Genomic DNA, 24,899 nt, shown 5'->3' with positions numbered 1-24,899 from the left:
AGCTGGGATTACAGGTGTGTGCTACCACAGCAAGCTAATTTTTGTATTTTTAGTAGAGACAGGGTTTTGCCATGTTGGCCAGGCTGGTCTTGAACTCCTGACCTCAAGTGATCCATCCACCTCGGCCTCCCAAAGTTCTGGGATTACATGTGTGAGCCACCATGCTTGGCCCACATTTTCTTATATAATATGAAAAAATCCACGTTAATTCACATTACCACTGATCTCATTAGGAAAAAAATTTTAAGTATTAGCAGTTATCAAGCTCATGATGTCAGATAAAAGGTTTCCAAAATGCTAAGATTCACTTGAAATCTGAAGTTTATCATTGGCAAGAATATGTTTGCCAAATAATTAAGTCTGAATAACTGTAATTTGTCTGTCAGTCATCCTCATAAATATGAAATTTTTAAAAAATGGAAAAGTAGCTAATTCCGTTTGTAGCTCAAACAATCATAAGTATTTTTTCTCATGACAAACCACAGTATTTTGGTATGCAGTGAAAGAGCTTTATGTCTACATTATATTTCATCACAAACAATATTAAGATGTGTACTCAAAAGTGAGATTTAAAAAAAGTCTTTTTTTTCTGTTGCATTAAGTGATAAGGCAAAACTTATATTTTATTTATTTATTATTGATTTTATTTTTTAATTTTCGGAGACAAGGTTTTGCTCTGTCATCCAGGCTGGAGCACAGTGGCATAATCATGTTTCACTGCAGCCTCAACCTCCCAGGTTCAAGTGATCCACCTCAGTGTTCCAAGTAGCTGTGACTGCAGTCATGCACCACCATGCCTAATGTTTTATTTATTGAAGAGATAGGGTCTTGCTATGTTGCCCAGGCTGGTCTCAAACTCCTGGGCTCAAGCTATCTTTCTGCCGTGGCCTTCCAAAGTGCTGGGATTACAGGCATGAACCACAGTTCCTGGCAAGAATTTGCATTTAAAAAACTATGACTGCATGGGGTGAAAACTACAATGACTACTAAGTACAGTTTGGTATTCTACTGTGATTTGTGATAAGGACCAGCCATTTTACCCATTGCTATAGTTTGGATATTTGACCCTCCAACCCTCATAATGAAATTCAATCCCCAGTGTTGGAGGTGGGGTGCAGTCAAGGTGTCTGGGTCACAAGGGTGGATCCCTCGTGAATAAGTTAAGGCCTTCCTTGGGTGGGAGATGAATGAGTTCTCGCTCTGTTAGCTCCTGAGAGAGCTGGTTATTTATAAAAAGCTTGGCACCTCCCCTCTCTTTTGCTCCCTGGCCACGTGATCTCTGCACAAGCCAGCTCCCCTTCTCCTTCTACCATGAGTAGAAGCAGCCTGAGACCCTCACCAGAAGCAGATGCTGGTGTCATGCTTCTTGTACAGCCTGAAGAACCATAAGCCAAATATACCTTCTTTTCTTTGTAAATTACCCAGTGTCAGATATTCTTTTATAGTAACACAAATGGATGGAGACCCACCATTACTTTTACACCATTAATGTAAATGTCAACACGATGAAAAAAGCAAACGATGTCTCAGTATTATTGCAAAAATAGTTTTGGCTGGGCATAGTGGCTCATGCCTATAATCCCAGCACTTTGGGAGGCCGAGGTGGGTGGATCAACTGAGGTCAGTAGTTCAAGACCAGCCTGGTCAACATGGTGAAACTAAAATACAAAACTAAAGATACAAAAACTAAAAATACAAACATTAGCCGGGCGTGGTGGTGTGTACCTGTAATTCCAGTTACTTGGGAGGCTGAGGCAGGGGAATCACTTGAACCCAAGAGGCAGAGGTTGCAGTGAGCAGAGATTGCACCATTGCACTCCAGCCTAGGCCACAGAGTGAGACTCCATATCAAACAAAACAAAACAACAACCAGTTTTGACCTAATGGATACCATGAAAGGGTCTGAGGACCCACAAGAGTTTGAAGACTGCACTTTGAGAACTGCCAGGCTAGTTATGCTGTGATGACAAATGACTGTGGAACTTCAACGGCTTAACCTACAAGGACCTATTTCTTGTGCATACAACCTGTCCATGGTGCCATGACTGCAAGTTTGTTCTACATCGTCTTTACTCCAGGACTCTGTATGTGGACTAGGCTGCTTCCTCTGCCATGGCAGAGGAAAGAGAGAAGAGAAGACGTGAGCTGGCTAAAGCTTTGCCCAGACATGACAACAGGAAGTGATATGTATCACTTCTGCCCGTTTCACTTGAGTTCATCAGTGTAGAGATGTATATTCTTTCAGCGAGAGAAACCGGAAGCATGGCAAACAGTTTACGACCTAACGCAGTGGTCATAAAAGATTAGAAAACGGCCAGGCACAGTGGCTCACGCCTGTAATCCCAGCACTTTGGGAGGCCGAGGCGGGTGGATCATGAGGTCAGGAGTTTCAGACCAGCCTGACCAACATGGTGAAACCCTGTTTCTACTAAAAATACAAAAATTAGCCAGGTGCGGTGACGCACACCTGTAATCCCAGCTACTCAGGAGGCTGAGGCAGGAGAATCGCTTGAACCCGGGAGACGGAGGTTGCAGTGAGCCGAGATTGCGCCATTGCACTCCAGCCTGGGTGACAGAGCGAGACTCCGTCTCAAAAAAAAAAAAAAAAATTAGAAAACACTGCATAAAACACTCCTTTCCTAGAAATTCACAATACACAAAGGCATAAAAAGACATGGAGAAATCCCGCAGTAAGGAAACACTGTGCACTTGGTTTAATTGAGGGTAGGGCTACTGAGAGAAAATTTAGATTCAAGATTTAGATTTAGATTTAGATTAAGATCTGATGCTCATTGTCCTTTTCCTGTTTGACCCTTTGCTGGTCCTGGGCAGAGAAAAAGGCAGCCTTGACCAATCCTTTCCCATGTACTCAACAACAGGTTAAAGAACACTGGGATCATTACTTAGTACCTGGCCAATTGGGCTCAGTGACTGACCAAATGAGGCTCTCTTCAATACTTCCCTTATTATTACCCGCTCCTGTGCTGGTGAACAAGGACGCTGGATGGAACCGCTTGTGTACTCAGAGACTATTACTGATACAGAAGCGAGGAAGGGAAGTGCTGGGAAAGCAAGGGCGTGGTCCTGGCTAGGGCTTCACTCCTGGGCCTGTGCCCAAGGACCTAGATGACGACAGGCTTCTGTTTTCCTGCCCAAATGATGCATTTCCCAAGACCACCCCGGGCCGCCACACCCCCCATCCGGTGCCTATAAACCCCCCCCTAGACTCTAGCAGGCAGACACACATGTGGTTGGAAGTAAAGAGGAAAACATTGGCGGAAGAACACATTGGCGGAAGAACATACAGGTGGCTGGAGCTTGAGAAGGCGTTGAGGGGAGCACACCTAAGGAAGAGCACTCCGGCTGGCTATCCACCGGTGGAATGGCTCACAGTTTGGATGGGATGGTTGGAGGAAAGCCTGGGCCACTGAGCTGCCTGACTCCGGGAATAAAACCACTTTCCCACTCCATCAGCCTTATGGCTCCCCCATCTGCTGAGAGCTACTTCCACTCAATAAAACCTTGCACTCATTCTCTAAGTCCATGTGCCCTCCAGTTCTTCCAGTACACCAATGAGAGGTGACAGCACGCTGACAGCCCTCACAGCCCTCGCTCGCTCTTGGCGCCTCCCTGGCCTCGGCGTCCGCTCTGGCTATGCTCGGGGAGCCCTTCAGCCCGCCACTGCGCTTTGGGCGCCCCTCTCTGGGCTGGTTGAAGCCGGAGCCGGCTCACTCAGCTTGCCCGGAGGTGTGGAGGGAGAGACGTGGGCGGGAACCTGGGCTGCGCGCAGCGCTTAGGGGCCAGCTAGATAGAGTTCCGGATGAGGTGGGCTTGGCGGGCCCCGCACTCAGAGTGGACCCCGGCAGTGAGGGGCTTAGCACCCGGGCCAGCAGCTGCGGAGGGTGCGCCGGGTCCTCCAGCAGTGCCGGCCCACAGGCGCTGCACTCAATTTCTCGCCCGGCCTTAGCTGCCTCCCCGTGGGGCAGGGCTCAGGACCTGCAGCCCGCCATGCCTGAGCCTCTCTCCACCCCCGCGGAGGGCTCCTGCTTGGGCCGAGCCTCCCCCACGAGCACCTTCCCCTTCTCCACAGCGCCCAGTCCCATCGACCGCCCAAGGGCTGAGGAGTGCAGGCGCAAGGCACGAGACTGGCAGGCAGCTCCACCTGCGGCATGCCCCCCTGCGGATCCACTGGGTGAAGCCAGCTGGGTTCCTGAGTTTAGTGGGGACTTGGAGAACCTTTATGTCTAGCTAAGGGATTGTGAATGCACCAATCAGCACTCTGTGTCTAGCTCAGGGTTTGTAAATACACCAATCAGCCCTCTAGCTAATCTAGTGGGGACCTGGAGAACTTTTGTGTCTAGCTGAGGGACTGTAAAGGCACCCATCAGCACCCTGTCAAAACGGACCAATCAGCTCTCTGTGAAACAGACCAATCAGCTCTCTGTAAAATGGATCAATCAGCAGGATGTGGGTGGGGCCAGATAAGAGTATAAAAAAGCAGGCTGCTGGCGCTGGCAGTGGTAGCCTGCAGGAGTCCTCTTCCACGTTGTGGAGGGTTTGTTCTTTCGCTCTTTGCAATAAGTCTTGCTGCTGCTCACTCTTTGGGTCCACACTGCCTTTGTGAGCTGTAAGACTCATCGCGAAGATCTGCAGCTTCACTCCTGAAGCCAGCAAGACCGCAAACCCACCAGAAGGAAAAAACTGCGAACACATCCAAACATCAGGAGGAACAAACTCCGGACACCCCTCCTTTAAAAACTGTAGCAAGCACCGCGAAGGTCCGCGGCTTCATTCTTGAAGTAAGTGAGACCAAGAACCCACCAATTTCGGACACAGAGCTGTAACACTCAGCGCGAAGGTCTGCAGCTTCACTCTTGAAGTCAGCGAGACCACGAACCCACCAGAAGGAAGAAACTCCGAACACATCCGAACATCAGAAGGAGCATCAGAAGGAACAAACTCCGGACACGCCGCCTTTAAGAACTGTAACACTCACCTCGAGGGTCCGCGGCTTCATTCTTGAAGTCAGTGAGACCAAGAACCCGCCAATTCCGGACACACCAAGGCAAGAAATCCCGGGATACAGAAAGTCCTCTGTTCTTGTGATAAGGCAGGGGGTCTAATTGAGCTAACACAAGCCGCCTACAAATGGCTAAAAGACCACCCTGTAACACAGGCCCGTTGGGGCCCCAGGAGCTATAAACATTCACCTCTAGACACGGCTGTGGGGTCCCACAACCAAACCGTCTGCATGCTCCCCTTAGGGGTTAGAGCAGTGGGGCACCGAAGAAGTGAGCAACTCATCACATGCCCTACAAGGGGGATAAGGGAATTTTTCCCGTTTCAACACCAAAACACAGATTCGTCAGCATCACAGTTTGGGGAACGCCACTGGTGGGAGTGAATCTGAGCAGGAGGTGAGTATCAGACCTGTGTCAGAAGAGGTCCCAAGTTTCTGAAAGGGGCTCATGATGGGACATCACTGTCCCCTGACCTGTTAGAGGTCACCACCTGCTGTTACCTAGAAGTCATCATAATTATCTTCAATTGTTTGGGACTCTCTTGAGAGGCCTCAACACTCAGTCATTTTCTTTGTTGTTTAGACTCTGATCATAATAAATCTCGTTTATTGCCTGTAGCCCAATTAAATCTTACTTTCCCTCTAAATCTAAATTAAATTTCATTCCCATGCTGGCTATTTTTTTTCTCATAGCTCTCTGCACTTTTTTTTTTTTTTTTGCATTGCACTTACCACACTTTGTAATTATCTCCATATCTGTGTGACTATTTTCTGTATATCTCTAAAAGCTCCACGATGGCAGAGGCTATGTCTGCCTAGCTCAGTGCCTGGTGTGTGTAGATTATCAATAAATATTCATTGAATGGATAAGTGAGCAAATGAATGGAAGTCTGCTCGGGAAGTGAGAGTTCTCTTTTGTAGATTTCTATGGCGTTTATTGTCTATACCATTTCAGTGACATTTACACTTGATTGCTGTCATCCTAATAAGTGGGCAATATATTGTTAGAAAACAAAACCCTGACCTTTGCAGATGGTGAAGGGATATTTGATAGCACAACCCAGTAAGTAATAATAGATTTGGTTTTTTTTTTCCTTTCAAAATGTTGGGAAACTTTTAAGAACAGTTTGGAAATTGTTCTCTTTTTACTAAAACCCAATGTTGATGTAGTCCTTGACCTCACAGTTGAGAGAAAGAGGCTGCAGCAGCAGGAAATTTTACAGAGTATAATTGGAGAAATTTGAGCCTCCATAAGTTCCACCAAGGCACAGATCTATGAGGTATCAAATGAGGGGTAATGAAAACTACAGCTTAGAAATGTAGATGACAATGAAGCCTTTGAGCGGTGGCAGAGAAACAGATAACTCTCCTCAATTAGCCAGTGAAACATGGGGCAAGGTAGCCTGACATGTCAGTAAACAGGAGACTTCAAAAGAACATACACAACTGGATCAGGACTGGAACATTTCATTCCCTAAAGATCCAGTAGTTCTCTAATGAGGGAAACTGCAGTTAAAGCCAGAATCACACTGCTATGGTTTGACTGTGTCCCCCAAAAGTTCATGTGTTGGAAACAATCCCCAGTGCAACACTGTTGGGAGGTGGGGCCTAATCAGCAGTGATTGGGTCATGAGGGTGGAGCCCTCATGAATGTATTAATGTCCTTCTCGCAGAGGCGGGTTAGTTATCGCATGAGTGAGTTATTATAAAGCGAGTCGAGCCCCCATACTTTCTGTGTCTGTCTCATGCACTCACTTCTGCCTTTAAATTCCTTAAAAGCCAAAGATTTTTTATTCTTCTTTGTGGTTTTTTTTTTTTTTTTTTTTTTTTTGCATGGCATCCAGGAGAGTGGAGAATTATTTGGGCTCAATAAGTGCTATACACACACACACGATTCAAAATTCTGAATAGTTTATTTCTCCTCATTACCTCATTTATTTATATTTCAATAGCTTTTGGGTACAAGTGGTTTTTGGTTACATGGATGGATGATGTAGTGGCGAATTCTGAGATTTTAGTGCACCTATCACCCAAGTAGTGTACATTGTACCTAATATGTAGTTTTTTATTACTAGCCCCACTCCCACCTTCCCCCTTCTGAGTGCCTAACGTCCATTATGTCACTGTGTATGCCTTTTCATATTCATAGCTTAGCTTCTGCTTATAAGTGAGAACATACAGTTTTTGGTTTTCTACTCTGTTTTTTCACTTAGAACAATGTCTTCTAGCTCTAAGTTGCTGCATAAGACATTATTTCATTCTTTTTACTGGCTGAGTAGTATTCCATGGTGATCTATACCACATTTTCTTTATCCATTTAATAGTTGATGGCCACTTAGGTTGGTTCCACACCTGTGCAATTGTGAGTTGTGCTGCCATAAACGTGTGTGCAAGTGTCTTTTTCATATAATGACTTATTTTCCTCTGGGTAGATCCCCAGTAGCAGGATTGCTGGATCAAATGGTAGATCTACTTTTTGCTCTTTGAGGAATCTCGATACTGCTTTCCATAGAGGTTGTACTAATTTACAGTCCCACAAGCAGTGTATAAGCATTCCCTTTCTCCTGCATCCACGCCAACATCTGTTGTTTTCTGAATTTCTAATAGTGGCCATTCTTGCAGGAGTAAGGTAGTATCTCATTGTGGTTTTGATTTGCATTTCCCTGATGATTAGAGATGTTGAACATTTTTTCATTGTTTGCTGGGCATTTATATATCTTCTTTTGATAATTGTCTATTCATGTCCTTTGCCCACTTTTTAATGGGATTATTATTTTTTTTTCTTGCTGATTTGTTTGAGTTTCTTGTAGATTCTGGATACTAGTCCTTGGCTGGATGTGTACTTTGCAAATATTTTCTCTGTGGGTTGTCTGTTTACTCTGCTGGTTATTTCTTTTGCTGTGCAGACACTCTTTAGTTAGGTCCCCTTTATATATTTTTGGTTTTGTTGCATTTGCTTATGGGGGTCTTAGTCATGAATTCTTTGCCTAGCCTGATGTCTAGAAGAGTTTTTTCAATTTCATCTTCTAGAATTTTTATAGTTTGAGGCCTTATATTTATAAGTCTCTGATCCATCTTGAGTTGATTTTTATATAAGGTGAGAGATGAGGATCCAGTTTAATACTTGTGGCTTGTCAGTTTTTCCAGCACCATTTATTAAATAAGGTGTCAATTCCCCAATTTCTGTTTTTGTATGCATTGTCAAAGATCAGTTGGTTGGACATGTTTGGCTTTATATCTGGGTTCTCTATTCTGTTCCATTCATCTATGTACTCACTTTTATACCAGTACCATGCTATTTTGATAACGATAGCATTGTAGTATAATTTGAAGTTTGGTAATGTGATGCCTCCAGATTTGTTCTTTTTGCTTAGTATTGCCATGGCTATTTGGGTTCTTTTTTGATTCCATATAAATTTTAGAATTGTTTTTTCTAGTTCTGTGAAAAATGCTGTTGGTATTTTGATGGGAATTGCATTGAATCTGTAGACTGCTTTGGGCAATATGGTCATTTTCATAATATTGATTCTTCCAATCTATGAGCGCGGGATGCATTTCCATTTGTTTATGTCACCTATGATTTCTTTCAGCAGTGTTTTGTAGTTTTCCTTGGAGAGATCTTTCACTTCCTTGGCTAAGTATATTCCCAGGTATTTTACTTTACTTCTTTTTTGAGATGGAGTCTTGCTCTGTCACCAGGCTGGAATGTAGTAGCGAGATCTCAGCTCACTGCAACCTCTGCCTCCCAGGTTCAAGCGATTCTCCTGCCTCAGCCTCCCAAGTAGCTGGGACTACAGGTGCATGCCACCATGCCCAGCTAATTTTTCTATTTTTAGTAGAGACGGGGTTTCACCATGTTGGCCAGGATGGTCTTGATCTCTTGACCTCATGATCCACCCACCTTGGCCTCCCAAAGTGCTGGGATTACAGGTGTGAGCCACTGCACCAGGCCTACATTACTTTTTTATTTTATTTTTCAGCTGTTGTAAAAAGGGATTGAGCTCTTGATTTTTAATTCTCAGCTTGGTGGTTGTTGGTGTATAGCAGTGATACTGATTTGTATACATGATTTTGTGACCTGATCCTTTACTGAACTCATTCATCAAATCTAAGATTATTTGGGGGAGTCTTTAGGATTTTCTAGATATACAGTCATCTCATCTTCAAACAGTGATAGTTTGACTTCCTCTTTTCCAATTTGGATGCCCTTTATTTTTTTCTTGCCTAATTAACTCTGGCTAGAACTTCCAGAACTATGTTGAACAGGAGTGGTGAAAGTGGGAACACTTATCTTGCTCCTGTTCTCATGGGGAATGCTTTCAACTTTTCCCCATTCAGGATGATGTTGGCTGTGGGTTTGTTACATATGGTTTTTATAATATTTTGAGGTTGGTCCCTTCTATGTCTAGCTTGTTGAGAGTTTTTATCATAAAGGGATGCTGGATTTCAAATGCTTTCTCTGCATCTATTTAGATGATCACATGTTTATGTGATGTGTTATATTTATTGACTTGGGTATGTTAAACCATCCCTGCTATATAAATATTTGAGATTTGTTGACCAGCAGATCATCTCTTTGTCCTTTTCAACTGCTCAAGCCTTTAAAATGGGCTTGGAGTGATAGCTGCACTATGAAAAGCACTGTGTACATCCTAAGATGGCTTAACAAACGTTTCCATTTCTGTCTTGGGCCTTGCTCAGGCTGTAATCCCAGTTGAGTGTAATCCCAGCTACTTGGGAGGCTGAGGCAGGAGAATTGCATGAACCCGGGAGGTGGAGGTTGCAGTGAGCCGAGATCGTGCCATTGCACTCCAGCCTGAGCAACTGAGCTAGACTCCGTCTAAAAAAGAAAAAAAAAAAAGATTCCCAGCAGAAGATCTGGAGCTTGATTCTCATTGGTTTAAGAAGAGTCATGTGTGTTCAACTTGGAACCAATCATTGTGGCCAGGAGGCTGCAGAGCTTTGATAGGCCAGGCTAGGAGGTGCCTGTCTCTCTGATGACCATGTGCTCTGGTTTGTAGGAGAGGGTCTAAGTTTGTGCCTGTTATCTTTCCTGGGTAGTTTAGCATTTACCCTGATTTCTTTATTTTTAATAAAATGTTGTTAATAGTGACATTAAAAATACACGAAAATGTATTTTGGTAGACCTCTACTTTGTATTTCCACCTTTTGCCATAGACTCCTCTGGTCAAATGAGAGAAACATGTAGTGAAGACACTTGAGTTTAGTCCGTAGTTAAATCTAAAAGTCATCCAGCCATGATGACTCCCTTGTCTGGACCCTGGCATGAAATAACTTAATATCTGCCCTCAAGGGCAGTAAGCTGGATGCTTAGGGAAGAGCAGCTTGGGCTTGCAAATTCTTTTGGTCTTGGGTGGTAGTGGGGTAAGTATTTGATGCTGCTGCCCGGCTGGCCACAGAGGGTACCAGAAAGAGGGCTGTGGCTTGTGCCAAGGCCTGTGTGACTCCTGGAACTGCCAGCTCTCCAGCTGGCAGGATCACTTGGAAAAATGGAAACTAGTCAGGTGTATATGAGGCATGTGGAGGAAATGAGTGTACACTGTAATGTACACATTATATTCTCTATGCTGTGCATCATTTCCTCCATATCGCACACATTATAATAGAAAATAATCTGAATGTTCTTGCCACAGTGGTTTTGTCAATTACTATGCGGTGAAATCTGCAACTATTTGTTTCATTGTTTGGTAATATTTTTTCTATTTTGTAATGACTTTTAATATTATTTTAACATCAATGAGTTAAAAAATGTGCTTGTTTGTTGAAAAATTAGTGAATGAATGTTAATTTCTCGAGAAAGTTGATGATAGGCCGGGTGCGGTGGCTCATGCCTGTAATCCTAGCATTTTGGGAGGCCGAAACGGGTGGATCACTTGAGATCAAGAGTTCAAGATCATCTTGGCCAACGTGGTGAAACCCTGTCTCCACTAAAAATACAAAAATTAGATGGGCGTGGTGGTGCGTGCCTGTAAACCCAGCTACTCAGGAGGCTGAGGCACAGGAATTGCTTTAACCTGGAAGGCGGAGTTTGCAGTGAGCCGAGATCGCGCCACTGCACTCCAGCCTGGGGAACCGAGTGAAACTCAGTCTCAAAACAAACAAAGAAACAAACAAACAAACAAAAAAACCCACAAGAAAGTTGATGATAAAGGTTAACTTGTAGAAGATATTTATTGATTTTATCATAGATATGGGAGAGGGCATAATATTATCACTGACCACTTGAAAACCAGAAGGCACAAGTCTATGGGAGCATCAGGATCTACTTCCAGTGTTGGTAGTTATTTTAAGATTGTGACTTATAATGATAAATTAACATGTGCCGTGGCCTTAGGTGCTTTTGCCTACCCCTCTGTGAATCATGACTCTTTTTTTTTTGAGACAGAGTCTTGCTCTGTCGCCCAGGCTGGAGTGCAGTGGTGTGATCTCGGCTCACTGCAAGCTCTGCCTCCCGGGTTCATGCCATTCTCCTGCCTCAGCCTCCCGAGTAGCTGAGACTACAGGCGCCTGCCACCACACCCGGCTAATTTTGTTTTTGTGTTTTTAGTAGAGGTGAGTTTCACCGTGTTAGCCAGGATGGTCTTGATCTCCTGACGTCGTGATCTGCCCGCCTCAGCTTCCCAAAGTGCTGGGATTACAGGTGTGAAGTGAGCCACTGCGCCCGGCCGAATCATAACTCTTCTTTTAGATCAAGTGACTGCTCTTCTAAATTCAGTTTGCTTATTTTTTATACCAAGTTTTCTTGTGCAATACAAAAAGTAATACGATAGCCGTTAGTGTGTTGTCTCCATTAAAAAGAAATTTGCAGACAGTTAAATGGGTGCCAGCTTTATATCCATGTTCTGAGATGGTTCAAATAGAAAAGTTAACTTCTAGAATTAGTTAATATCTATAAGGGTTTGCATTTTTCACCCAATTATTGAAAACAAACCAAATTTGGAAATTTGTTCTATTAATGGTGAAACATCTGACTAATGGATGTTGTAGATTAAGTTAGCAAGATCAACATTGAAGATAAAATTATTTAAGGTAATAAATACATTTACAATTTTTGGAACAACATGACGTCAAGGTAAAACAACTTTTTAAAACTAAATTTGAAACCTATCAAGGAAAATTGTACATGGAATTGGTTGTACTGTACACATAATTCAGAAATGCATCTGAATAGGCTGTGATATTCTATGAATCAAAATAGAGCTTTCCTGTCAATTTTATATAATTTTTAAACATTTGCAGTTTGAATGACAAAACTGCAAAATTTTTGTGATTAAGCTGATGTTGAATTTAAAGAAATCTCTTCAGGCTGCTGGAATTTGAGAAGCTTTTGTAATACTTGGGCCCCTTCTTAAGCCAGAGCTCAGAAAGGAGGCCACGTTCAGTTAGAGCGCCAAGATCGTGAAGCCCAGCTGCAGGAAGCTGAATATGTTCGAGTGTAGCTCTTCCAGGCACTTCTGAAGCTGGAGATGAACTTGGACCTCAGGCTCAGCTCAGGGAGCTGAGAATTATGGCAGCCAAGGAAATTGAAGTTGGTGGTGGTCAGAAAGCTATCATCATCTTTGTTCCTGTTCCTCAACTGAATCTTTCCAGAAAATCCACATCTGGCTAGTACATGAATTGGAGAAAAAGTTCAGTGGGGAAGAATGTTGTTTTCACTGTTCAGGGGAGAATTCTGCCTAAGGCAACTCAAGCCATACAAAAAATAAGCAAAAGTGTCCCAGGAGCCGTACTCTGACAGCCATGCATGGTGCCATCCTTGAGGACTTGGTTTTCCCAAGTGAAATTGTGCACAAGAGACTCTGCATGAAACTGGATGGCAGCCGGCTCATGAAGGTTCATTCAGACAAAGCACAGCAGAACAACGTGGAACACAGGGTTGAGACTTTTTCTGGTGTCTATAAGAAGCTCACTGGCAAGGATGTTAATTTTGAATTCCAAGGGTTTCAGTTGTAAACAAAAAAGACTAAAGTATATCCACAGTAAACAAACAACCAAAAAAAGCTCCTCTTCAGCCGGGCATACTTTTTTCCTTACTACTTATCAACAATTAGATATGGGAAAAGTTTGAATCTACAGACAAGAGAGTCAGTTGAAGCTTTCAACCAGTGTCATAGTGCATGCAGTTTTATGAAAATATTAAAAATGATCATTAATTCTTCAGAAAATACAAGTTTGTATTAGAGACAGATATGGTTAAGAAAATGATTGGGCCGGGCATGGTGGTTCACATCTGTAATCCCAGCACTTTGGGAGTCCGAGATGGGAGGATTGCTTTGAGTTGAGGAGTTCTAGACCAGCCTGGGAAATATAGTGAGATCCCATCTCTACATACACACGCAAAGCTAGCCAAGTGTGGTGGCATGCACCTGCAGTCTCAGCTGTTCAGGAGGCTGAGGTGGGAGGAATGCTTGAGACTGAGATTGAGGCTGCAGTGAGCCATGATCAGGCCCTTGCAGTCCAACCTGGGTGACAGAGTGAGATTCTGTATCCAAAAAAAAAAAAAAAAAATTTGATTGAAATACCTAATGATGTATGAAGAATAATTATTTTGCTTGTTATTTTTAATGTTCAGAAAATCAATATAAATAAAATTCGATGTCCCTCTTCCCCAACTCATATTTTGCTCTAATGGTTGTGCATATGTTTTATTTTTTTGAAAAAATGTATTTTTGAAAACAGTTTTTGAATAGGACTAGGACTATTTCATAGGCCCACCCATTTAATAAAATAAATTTGTTAGTCACTAAATACATAGTTCAAAAACTACATAATTACAATTTTTAAAACTTTTATTCTCACAATGCCATAATTTTGAAGATAAATTATGTGGTCATTCTAGGGATGAGAGTGATCAGTTCCACTGGATATCTGCAAGCTGATAGTGAGGGATGAGGAACTCTGCAAAGGGAAGGAAAGATGACGGAATGGATGCTGGGCAGGCAAGACCAACTGTGTCTACTGGTACCCAAGTACCAGATCAGAACTGGGGTTTTCTGACCTACCCGTCATGCTCCAATTCCAAATTTCATTTTCCATTCTCCCTGTTCTTTTCAGTTATAACATTCCTTCCCCGTGCCCCTTGGTTCACCAGCTCCTCCATGCAGCTCCGAACAGCGCAGCTTCCCAGCTTCCCTTAATCCCCTGATAGCAGCTGAGAGACGGTTCTTTTTTAAACATTTCTAAAAGCTGCAACATGCTCATGTCTCAGTTCCCTGCAAAACAAATTCAGAAGGCTGAAATCATTGTTCTCAGTAAATTGGGTGAAAACGGAGCAAAGGCAGAAGCTTTCAAACAAAGCCTCAGGAAAAATAAGAGACTGTAGAATACTGAATATGTAAGTAGAACTGTATATTTCACACACTTCTCCTAGTCTCCAACCCTGAAGCTTGTGTGTGTTTTTTTTTTCATAGTAAGTTGTAGTTGTCAAAGCAAAGCAATCACTCCATTAATTATAAAGTAAGGGAAAAATGGGTATTGATCTTTAACTAGTTCCCTTTTACTTGTTTAGTGTTAATTGAAAGTTATTCTTCTGAAGACACTTAATTTTTTGGAGGCACTGTAGAAAATAATGTTTAAAATATTCATTCAGAGTTAAGTGAACTCAGAGTCGAGCTCTTATAAACAGGATATTTTAAAATTGGAACTGGATTTTACGTAAGTGACAAAATGATTTCTGAGTTCTCTTTAGATCTCATGGTTCAATAACTCACTTGCTGATGTGCATGTCTGGGGTGGTCAGAGTATTTGCCCAATTGGTGCAAAGATAATGTGCTGCTCCCTTACCCAGAAATGCCCCTTGTAAAAGCAATCTCCATTCATTCACTTATTGATTGATTCAATCACTCTTGGGCACTGAGATCTTGACTGTAATACTGGTAGGGCACCAATTGAGATCTAAAAATTATCTGGGTATAAGAATAATTTTGGCTAATGCTCATATAGTGCTGACTGTATACAATATATTGTTTGGAATGCTTTATACACATTAACTCATTTAATACTCAACAGATTATTAGAGAGATATAATCATCATCATCTCCACTTTACAGAAGAGGAAACTGAGGTATAGACAAGATAAATAACTTGCCCAGGTCGCTCATCTGGTAAGCAGCACAAGATTTGGATCCAGGCAACCTAGCTTTAGAGTCTGTGCTCCTAACTGCTACTCCATAGTGCGGCTATTAAAAATATTTTTTTCTGTCTGCAGTAACATGTAAGGCATCCTTTGGTGACTATAAAATAGTTGAGTTGAGAATGTTTATACTCACACGTTGGAATAATAACTGGATACAGCTAGTATAAGCATACTTTCGTGCAAGAGATATGATACAGTGGGCCTTTGATATTTATCTACAATTTATTTTTAAAAGAATTGGTAAAAACCTTTATGTAGAAACAGCTAAATCTCTGTTCGGTTCAGTTCTGGATTGTGTTATTATTACTTTTACTTTTTTAGTGGGTTTCATGTATATTTAAAAGTAGGGAATACCAGGTTTGCTATCTAAGCTCCACCACTAAATTATAAAACCTACAAAGCAAAATTGTACTTGGAATTGTTTGTACAATGGGGATTATAGTAAAAGGTGGTAAAAAATCATCAGCAAAGTGGGGATATCTCTGTCAACTTTGCAGGGTTCTTGTGAGGGTTATAAGATACTGTAGTCTCTTCGGGGCATTCTACGACTTATTTCTTGATGTAATTTGTTGCCTAATGTAGTGTCTGTTACGTTACAGGAGTATAATGGATATCAATTGAATGTGAATGAAACTGCCTGGCACATACTAAATTTCACTGACTCTGAGAACACTTTCGTATTTTAACCTCGGGATATGTCTCACAGTCAATGGAATGTTACAATAGATGTCAGCCAAATGGCTGTTGAGATGTAGTTGTCATTGCTCATAAAGCAGTGGACTTGGTCTTTATTCCAAGGTCTTTCAAGGAATGAATATAAATCCAGGTTTGTGTTTGAAAACTTTCCACTGATACCTTTTGGTAAAGGTTGTTTCAGCACCAAGACTTGCAGGATGGGTGTCAGTGGTTCCAAAGAATACCTTCAGAGATGATAGAGCAGCACTCTTTCAAAAATTGCTGTATTATCACTGCATTTGATGGCACAGAGTATGATATTACATGAGAAAAGAAAAAATAGACATTACCCAGTCTGAGTCAAAAAGAGAGTTAGCAGAGTTTAACACTGATTTAAAGCGTTTTAATTAATACCGTAAATCATTTATTTTACGTATATATTACCTTTTATGCACAAGAATGATACATAAAAGTATGTAGATGAGTCTAAAAAGCTCTTTAAAATAAAATGATGAATGGTTAGTGTATTAGTTCGTTTTCACACTGCTATAAAGAACTGGCCGGTTGCGGTGGCTCACACCTGTAATCCTAGCACTTCGGGAGGCTGAGATGGGCGGATCACTTGAGGTCAGGAGTTCGAAACCAGCCTGGCCAACATGGTGAAACCCCATCTCTACTAAAAATACAAAAAAATTAGCTGGGCGCAGTGGCATGTGCCTGTAATCCCAGCTACTCAGGAGGCTGAGGCAGGAGAATTCCTTGAACCTGGGAGGTGGAGGTTGGTGTGAGCCAAGATTGCGCCACTGCACTCCAGTGTAGTGACAGAGCGAGACTCCGTCTCAAAATAAATAAATAAATAAATAAATAAACTACCGGAGACTGGGTAATTTATGAAGAAAAGAGCTGTAAATGACTTACAATTCTGCAGGCTGTACAGGAAGCATGGTTGGGAGGCCTCAGGAAACTTAACAATCATGGCAGAAAGTGAAGGGGAAGCAAGCACCTTCTTCACATGGTGGCAGGAGAGAGAGTGAAGGGGGAGGTGCTACACACTTTAAACAATCAGATCTCATGAGAATTCACTCACTATCATGAGAATAGCAAGGGGGAAATCTGCCCCAATGATCCAGTCACCTCCCACCAGGTCTCTTTCTCAACATTGGGAATTACAGTTGACATGAGATTTGGGAGGGGACAGAGAGCCAAACCATATCATTTTGCCCCTGGCCCTTTCCAAATCTCATGTCTTTCTCACATTTCAAAACACAGTCATGGCTTCTCAACAGTCCCACAAAGTCTTAACTCATTTAGCCTTATCTCAAAAGTCCAAGTCCAAAGTCTCATCTGAGACAAGTCAAGTCCCTTCTGCCTATGAGCCTGTAAAATAAAAAACAAGTTAATTACTTCTGAGATACAATGGGGTACAGATACTGGGTAAATAGACCCATTCCAAGAGGGGGAAATCAGTACTTAAATTTAATCCTTAATGTTGGAGGCGGGGCCTGGTGGGAGGTGACTGGATCATGGAGGCGGACTTCCCCCTTTTGTTCTCATGATTGTGAGTGAGTTCTCATGAGATCTGGTTGTTAAAAAGTGTGTAGCACTTCCCCCTTTGCTCTCTGTTCCTCCTGCTCTGGTCATGTGAGACATGCTGCCTTCCCCTTCACCTTCTGCCATGATTGTAAGTTTCCTGACCCCTCCCCAGCGATGCTTCCTGGACAGCCTGTGGAACTGAGTCAGTTAAACCTCTTTTCTTCATAGATTTCTCAGTCTCAGGTAGTTCTTTAAAGCAGTATGAAAATGAACTAATACAGAAAATTCATACCAGAGAAGTGGGGCATTGCTATAAATTCAGTTCCTCAGTGGCACTAGTCCCATTTCAAGAGCTCAGTAGCCACATGTGGGCTAGTGGCTACCACATTAATTGGCTCAGACACAGATCATTTCCATTATCACAGAAAGTTCTTTTGGACAGCCCTGGTCCAGGTTCTTATTGCTTCTCAGTGACAGGGACTTCTCCTAAGTGATCTCCAGGCCAGGCTCTTAGATATGCCTTCTTTGGTCATTCCGTAGATATTTACTGCACGTCTGCCACACGTTAGCCATTGGGAGATACGACAATGGGCAGAGCAGGCAGGGGCCACCCTCACCGTTCCTGCAGTCTCCAGCCTCAGCACCTCCCCTACAGGCCATAGTCTACTAGTTTCCTGAGGGATTTGTTTTAAAATACAAGTCTGACTGTGTTTCTCCAGGAGCACCTGGAGCACGGGAATCCTCCAGGAGCACCTTTGTCCCCTACAAAATATAGATGGTCCCCGACTTGTGATGGTTTAACTTAAATTTTTTTGTCTTTATGATGGTGTGAAAGCAATATGCATTCAGTAGAAACCATACTTGGAGTACCCATACAATCATTCTGTTTTTCCCTTTCAGTGTAGTATTTAGTCATTATATGAGATATTCAACAATTTATTATGAAAATGGGCTTTGTGTTTCATGATTTTGCCCAGCTGTAGGCTACTGTAAGTGTTCTAAACATGTTTTAGGTAGGCTAGGTTAAGCTATAATGTTGGGTATTTTCACTTGGTGATGAGTTTATTGAGATGTAATCCCACTGTAAGTTGAGGAGCATCGGTAACCTCATTGCTACTTAGCATACACCAACATTCCCTAAGATCTGGCTCCTACCTTCATCTCTAGTCTGAAGGCTCATGGAGTGTCTGCTGCCAGGGGCACCCCTAGGTGCTGTGACTACAGGCACCTGCATGTTGGAGGCCTCTTCTGCAGCTTTGCTCTCCCAGACACTGAGAGCTGGGACTCAGGACCTGTGGCAGCATTTTTCAGGGACCTCTCCAGCCATGCAGTTCCTCTTCTGTATCTGGGCTAATTCCAACTCATCCTTCAAGATTTGGCTTAGATGACACCTTCTCTAGCACTTTTGCATGACTCCTTGATATATACTAGGCTCTTTTTCTTCCATGCTCCTGTAGCACCTTGCACCAGCCTGTATTATGAGGCTTTAAATGCCAACTGTTCAACCAACATCAGTGTCTGCTGTGGGCCACATACCCTACTAAGCTCTGTGGATGCAAAACCAAATGAGACTGGTACCTGCCAGCTCCAAGCTCAGCATTTACAGAGGGAGACAGTCCACTCCACTAGATATAAAACAGAATGTGACCCAAATGTTATTAGAAGGAGCACAAAGCAGAGAGGTAATGCAGTCAAGAGAGGTGGTTTGGATTGGGTTAATGGGTCATGGAAGGCTTCTACCTAAGCATGGTGTCTGTCTTACATAGTTGTGGAATAAATGAATAATAACAATAACCAATAGGTATTGAGCACATATTATATGTCCAGCCCTGCCTGTGCTAAGTGGCTTCCCATGCATTCTATCACTTATTCCTCATAACTACATGTGACTCATGTATATTGATACCATTTTGTAGATGAGGAGACTGAGGCTTAAGTAACTTGGCCATAGTCACCTTAGATAGTAAGTTGAAGCAACATTTGAATCTAGGAGGACTGTCTGACCCTAAAGTGTGATATAACCCTGTCAAACTTCTGCCTTTTTTGCATGCAGTAGGATTTTGTAGAATGAATAGGAGTTTCTCATGTGGACAACAAGGGTGATGGACATTCAAGGTGGAGGTATTCTAAAGGTGATGCTCAGAGAGGTTACTTAATTTGCCCAGTCTCACACAGTGGGAATTGAGAGTTTGAGCATGTTTCAGAGCATTTATTAAATACCAAGGCTGGAGATGATGAAATGGAAGAAGTTTGTTTTTTTTTTTAAGCCCCTTTTTCTCTTCCACTTGCTATGTAAGAATGAAAAGACTATTGATTGGGAGGGCAGAATGTGCAGTTGGTAATGAGATTCCCTCTGAAAATCCTTTAAAGTCTCCGTAATTAATTTATTTGAGAGGTGAAACAAACTGTGCATGTGAAATGTGTTAAAATTATTAACAGTTTGCACTAGGTCCACTGCCTGAGGCTGCCCGGCCTGATGAAGGGCACCGGGATTCGTGTCCGCACATCATCCTTGCAATCAATTATTGATCACAGCTGGGGTTCGAGCAGTTGTCTCTTAGCCACTGCAGCTCAGCTGTGCTGCAGCTCAGCTATGCTGCAGCTTCTGAGTCCATTCTGGTCCTGCCTGGCTGAGCCACGAGCAAGGAAGTCTGGAGAAAATAGTGGGATCCCTTCTAGTCCCACTGATGTTGAATTGAAGAAGAGGCAAAATGAATGTGTGCTGATACAAGTCAGCATAGTGTTATCTGGGTGGGTGGAGTGTTCGCTGGGAATGGGAGTCTCTCCAGGGAACTTTCCAGAGAGATGGAAATGGTCTGTACCTTGATCTGAGTGGGCTTTCCTCCCAATGGTGCCAATACTGTGAACCGCATCTCTATGGCCTCCCTGAGGGAATGAGGACCTGCGGCACATCCCCAGTCCTGCTAAATCCTTGGGACTTTCATTTTTCCAAGTCAGAGTAAGCCTGTCACCAAAAGACTGGAATTAGGATTCTTTTCAATGCTGAGATATAAATTAAGAAAAATATTATATCTATGTGTCACAACAAAAGTCATATAAGTGACAATGGTTTTGCAAAATATTTTTACCTCTGTCATTATTTAACCTTGACAACAATCCTGTGAGTGAAGGATTAGCATTCTTATTCGACAGATCTAGAGCCAATGAAAACTTGAAGAGGTTAGTAGCTGAGATAATTCTGAAATACAGGAGACTTGACTCCAAATCTGTTGCTTGCTTTCCTAAATCTGGTGTCGAGGGCATCCTCTGAGGGGAAAAGAATTGCCCAAAGGTATCCCGTGGGAGATTATCTTCATACAATGCTAACTCCAAGACCAGCTATCATAAAGCTCATGTAACCGAAAGGCTCAAGGACCAAGTTAAGATGCTTGAATCACGTAGTTTAGCATATTAACTTAAAACACACAGTTTGAAGGCAGAAGAGTGAGGTGGGTAGTTAATGGACATAGGAGAGGGTGCAAACAGGGAAAAATGGCCACACTTCCTGAACCCTGGATTATGCAGAAGTCCATCTAATATTCTTGCCACCACAGCTTGGCTCAACCGGCCCAATCATTTCTTCCATCTTCATGTCAATAGCCGGTCCCTATTAGGCCCCTGTAGTGATCATCTCATCCAGTGGCCCTCAATCCTGCTTACGCATTAGAATCACCTGGAGAGCTTTTAAAATACATCAATGCCTCGTTCTTATCCCAGAACAATGAAATCAGAATCCATATGGGTAGAGTTCGACACCTGTATTTTGTAAAGGCTCTTCAATGATTCTGATTTGTAGCCAGAGGTGAGAACCAAAAATTTAGATTTTAGGATGGCAAGTAGATGTCATTTCAGATGCTAACTCGAATTAATTGATAGTAGTAAGAGAAGGACCATGAGCTGCCATGTGGGCTCAGAGAGAGAAAGTACAGTGGGCAATGCAGAGCCTCACCTCTCTTTGCTACATCAGCCTTCCCTGCTGATGGTTAGGTTACAAGATCAGAGTTGAGGTTGAACAAGGAACTTGGCAGATGAAAAGTGCCTGGGCCAACACAGTGAACTTGTTCTATTGGGAGATGCAGGGGCAGTCACACCTGGCCCATGGTGGTAACTCACCCTTTACCCTGCCAGCAGCCCTGGATTTCATTTGGCAGAGGACTTGTGGGGCTGGAATGGGTGTCAGCAATGGATGGCTGATTTCAGATCTCATAAATATTGAGTGCCCCATGTATATTGAATATATTATGACAATTTGGAAACTCCTTTGCCTCATGTATATTTGGTGACTCTCAAATATTTGCTACCTCTTGGTCTTTCGATCTCTTTCTAAGCTCAGCAGACACATGCTCTGTTTAATCTATGGTAACATGTCACCCTATATTACTACTTTATATACACTTAACCCATCTAATGAATTCTGCCTCATAAGCTTAATTCTGTCTCATAAGCTATTTGCTTCTACGCTTGCTTCATTTATTCTTCTTGTTATTTCTGATTTTCTCGAGCAGAATTGAATATCTTAAATAATACAACAAACACATTCCAAAAGGGGAACTCTGTCAGGGACTCTGTGCAAGAGTTGCTGGGTTGACCAGAGTGGTAGGAAACTTCTGGACTAATGGATACTCACTCAGAGACAGTCAGTATGTGAGGGGTGTGTGAGAGTTTGGAGTCAGTCCTGGGTTTGAACCCAGCTCCACTGCTGACATCTGGGGACAGGTTCCCAACCTCTCCGACCCTCAGTTTTCCCATCTAGAAAGGACATAACCACACCTACCCTCTATAACTGTTTGATGATTTAATAAGTACTGTCGTAAGCATTAGCACATGCTTAAGACATGCAGCAAGTGCTCTGTAATGTAGTCTTAGACCTGGATGAGAGACTCACCTCCTTTCTATCCTTTGTAAGCCCCATTTGTAACTGTCCTGCAGAGCATGGTTTCATCCAAGGCCACTTTTCCAACCAGAGAATCAGATAGAAAAGAATTTATATTTGTTGAAACCAAAGCGGCCGTCTTAGAGGCTGTAGGCTTATGTGCTGTGTCCTCATGGTGCCAGCAGGGTGGAAAGCACAGGTGGTATGGGAATGCAATTGACCTACCCTGGAGCAGAGAGGAGGCTCTGGAAGGGCTTCTTGAGTTGAAATTTGCATGGTGAGTAGGCATTAGCTAACGAGCCTATTACAATTAGGGGGAGGAAAGCAGGAAGTCCTGCTTTAGGCAGAGGGGTAGCAGAGATGAAGACCGCAGGCAAGAGAAATCCTAACACATCTGAGGACCTGCATGAGATTCAGCCTGGCTCCAGTGAGCGGGACCATTGATGGGTGACTTCTGGTTACACATGGACCTATCCTGAACTTTCTTATGGACCAAAGACAGAGGTAGAGTTGAAAAAGTACTATATGCCTTTATTCAAGTCTAAGCGGTAAAATATGCAGCGAAACTAGGAAATTGGATGAGGAGGAGGAGTGAGAAGTGTTTGAGCATGGGGATTTTATGTTTTTAATGTGTGAGATGGTTCTAACATCCAATTAATACTACTCAGTTTAAGTGGGTTTATCTTTATGCCAGGAAGATGGTGGGCACAGAGGATCTTCCAGGTGTCTTCCAGGATTCTTAGTTCATACGCATGAGGCTGAAATGACAGTGCACATATCAAACTTGGTCCTGGCAGAATTTAAAAGGCAGTTTTGTGTTTTTTTCTCCCTTGTGGGAAAGGGTAAAAGTAGGAGATTAAGCATCAGCCAAATTCATTCTGATTTCATTTCTTTCTGTTGGAATGCATCTCTACCTCCCTGGTCAATTGCAATAGAAAGCAGCCCTGAGGGTTGAGATGGAGGTTATTTTAATGTAAATAGAACTTTAAAATCATCCTTCCAGGAAACAGTGCTCAAACTCCCTGACAGGTCTGAGATTTTATTGTATTAAGTGGCTCTTCCTGGGAAAAATGCGAGTGAATCTGGCCACCTCTTACCCTGACACTGGCTTTTTCAGGAAGGGACACGTGAAACTTCATTAGGAAAAGCTGAAGCCCCATCGTGATCTACTTTAATGCAGTCTTTATTCTGTGGGCCATTTGCTAATTTAATAAAGACTGCATATTCCTGGTGGCTGAAAGAAATTTCAGAAGTCAGTGCCTGAAATGCTCGGCAGAGTAGTTTAGAAGAAAGCTAGAGATTTACTTGCCATTTTCTAGAAAGGGAGATGTGCCTGGCTTATGTTTCAAAGGAGAAGGCCATGTGGGCAAAGAGAGCAGTGAAGGACTTAGAGTCACTGGCCTGGGTTGGAGTTCAAGCTTTCACACTTTTGGGCTATGTGACCTCTCTTGAGGGGCTTCACCTCTCTAAGGCTTATTTTTCCTTATCTGCAAAAGGGGTATAATAATATTGACCTTCTAGAACTGTAAACAGTGACTGAGGGGAAGTATATAAAGTGCTTAGCCTAGTGCCTTTGACACAAAGTTTTTAACTTCAAGTAAATTGGAGCCAAGAGAGGGAAATGAGGGTGGCCTGGTATACAGGATGAAGGGCACTGTAGATAACTGTGGCCAGACAGCTGTAGCCATGAGCCCCATGCCTGATGCTGCAGAGGTAGGGGGGCTTGCTGTAGAGGCACTGGCAGAGTGGGAGGGGGCCACACCTGACTCTTCCACCTTCCTAGGTGTAGTTTTCAGGCAAGAAAGGAAGCACAAACAGGCATGCAGGAAAAACTCAGCACCCAAGAAGAGGTTCAAGAGAAGGTATAAATGCTCTCTTATGGCAGGGAGAAGATGGTGCCAGGAATTGGCTGTGAGACTCTTGTTCTACTGTAGGATCCAGAGAGGAGTAGCTGGGAGCTTCAGATATGTTGATTAAAGGTCATGGGAGTCCCAGGTGGGATCTGTACAGTGCTCAGTGGTGGAGTCATGGTAGAGGCCAGAAGCGGCTCTCCAGGAGTGTAGGGCAGGAATCCAAGCAGCAGGTGATCCTCTGGGCCAGGTGCATATGGGGAGAAAGCACTGTTTTGGGAAGGAAGCTAGGGCTGGGAAAGATAAGATTCTACAATGAAAATGGCATCACAAAGAAGTGTGATGAATCACACTTGCAAATGAACAATTACAAATGAATTCTGTATAAGAGAGATGCAAGAAATGTTAAGCTTTAGACTCTAATAACTGTAGGTAATACAATAACCTAAGGAAGATTTTCAAATAAGTGTATTTATAATATTCAAAGAGATAAGGAAAGAAATAGAAATCATTAGGTAAGAAGGGAAAGTTAAGGGAAAAGAAAAGGTGGACTTGACAAAGACCAAGTAGAAATTCAAGAAATAAAAAACCATGAAGTCATTGAAGTTAAAAAAAAAAAAAAAAGCAACTCATGAAATGGCAGACTAGAAATAGTTGAAGAGAGAATTAATAATGTGGAAACAAAGCTAAGTAAATGAACCATGAATATAAAAGAGAAATTATAAGAAAAGGAAGATAAAGAGGATTAAAAATATCTAATAAGAGCATCTGAAAATTAGCTTGGATATAATG

At 42.6% G+C, this 24,899-nt stretch overlaps 1 pseudogene, besides 1 other annotated feature; it reads left to right on the top strand.

Moving 5' to 3' along the window:
• Positions 4,143-4,421: a silencer, noted in NCBI's record as "fragment chr4:17437892-17438170 (GRCh37/hg19 assembly coordinates)". NCBI's record gives its function as "represses an EF-1alpha promoter that drives an FKBP-Casp9 reporter gene in an ReSE screen in HepG2 liver carcinoma cells {active_cell/tissue: HepG2}" and the evidence as "EXISTENCE:reporter gene assay evidence [ECO:0000049][PMID:32094911]".
• RPS7P6 (ribosomal protein S7 pseudogene 6) lies at positions 12,341-13,023 on the top strand (annotated as a pseudogene).

Source organism: Homo sapiens, chromosome 4 (genome assembly GCF_000001405.40).
Source record: "Homo sapiens chromosome 4, GRCh38.p14 Primary Assembly".
Taxonomy (NCBI): domain Eukaryota; kingdom Metazoa; phylum Chordata; class Mammalia; order Primates; family Hominidae; genus Homo; species Homo sapiens.
The sequence above is the reverse complement of the archived record's forward strand: the minus strand, read 5'-3'. Positions and strand labels throughout refer to the sequence as shown.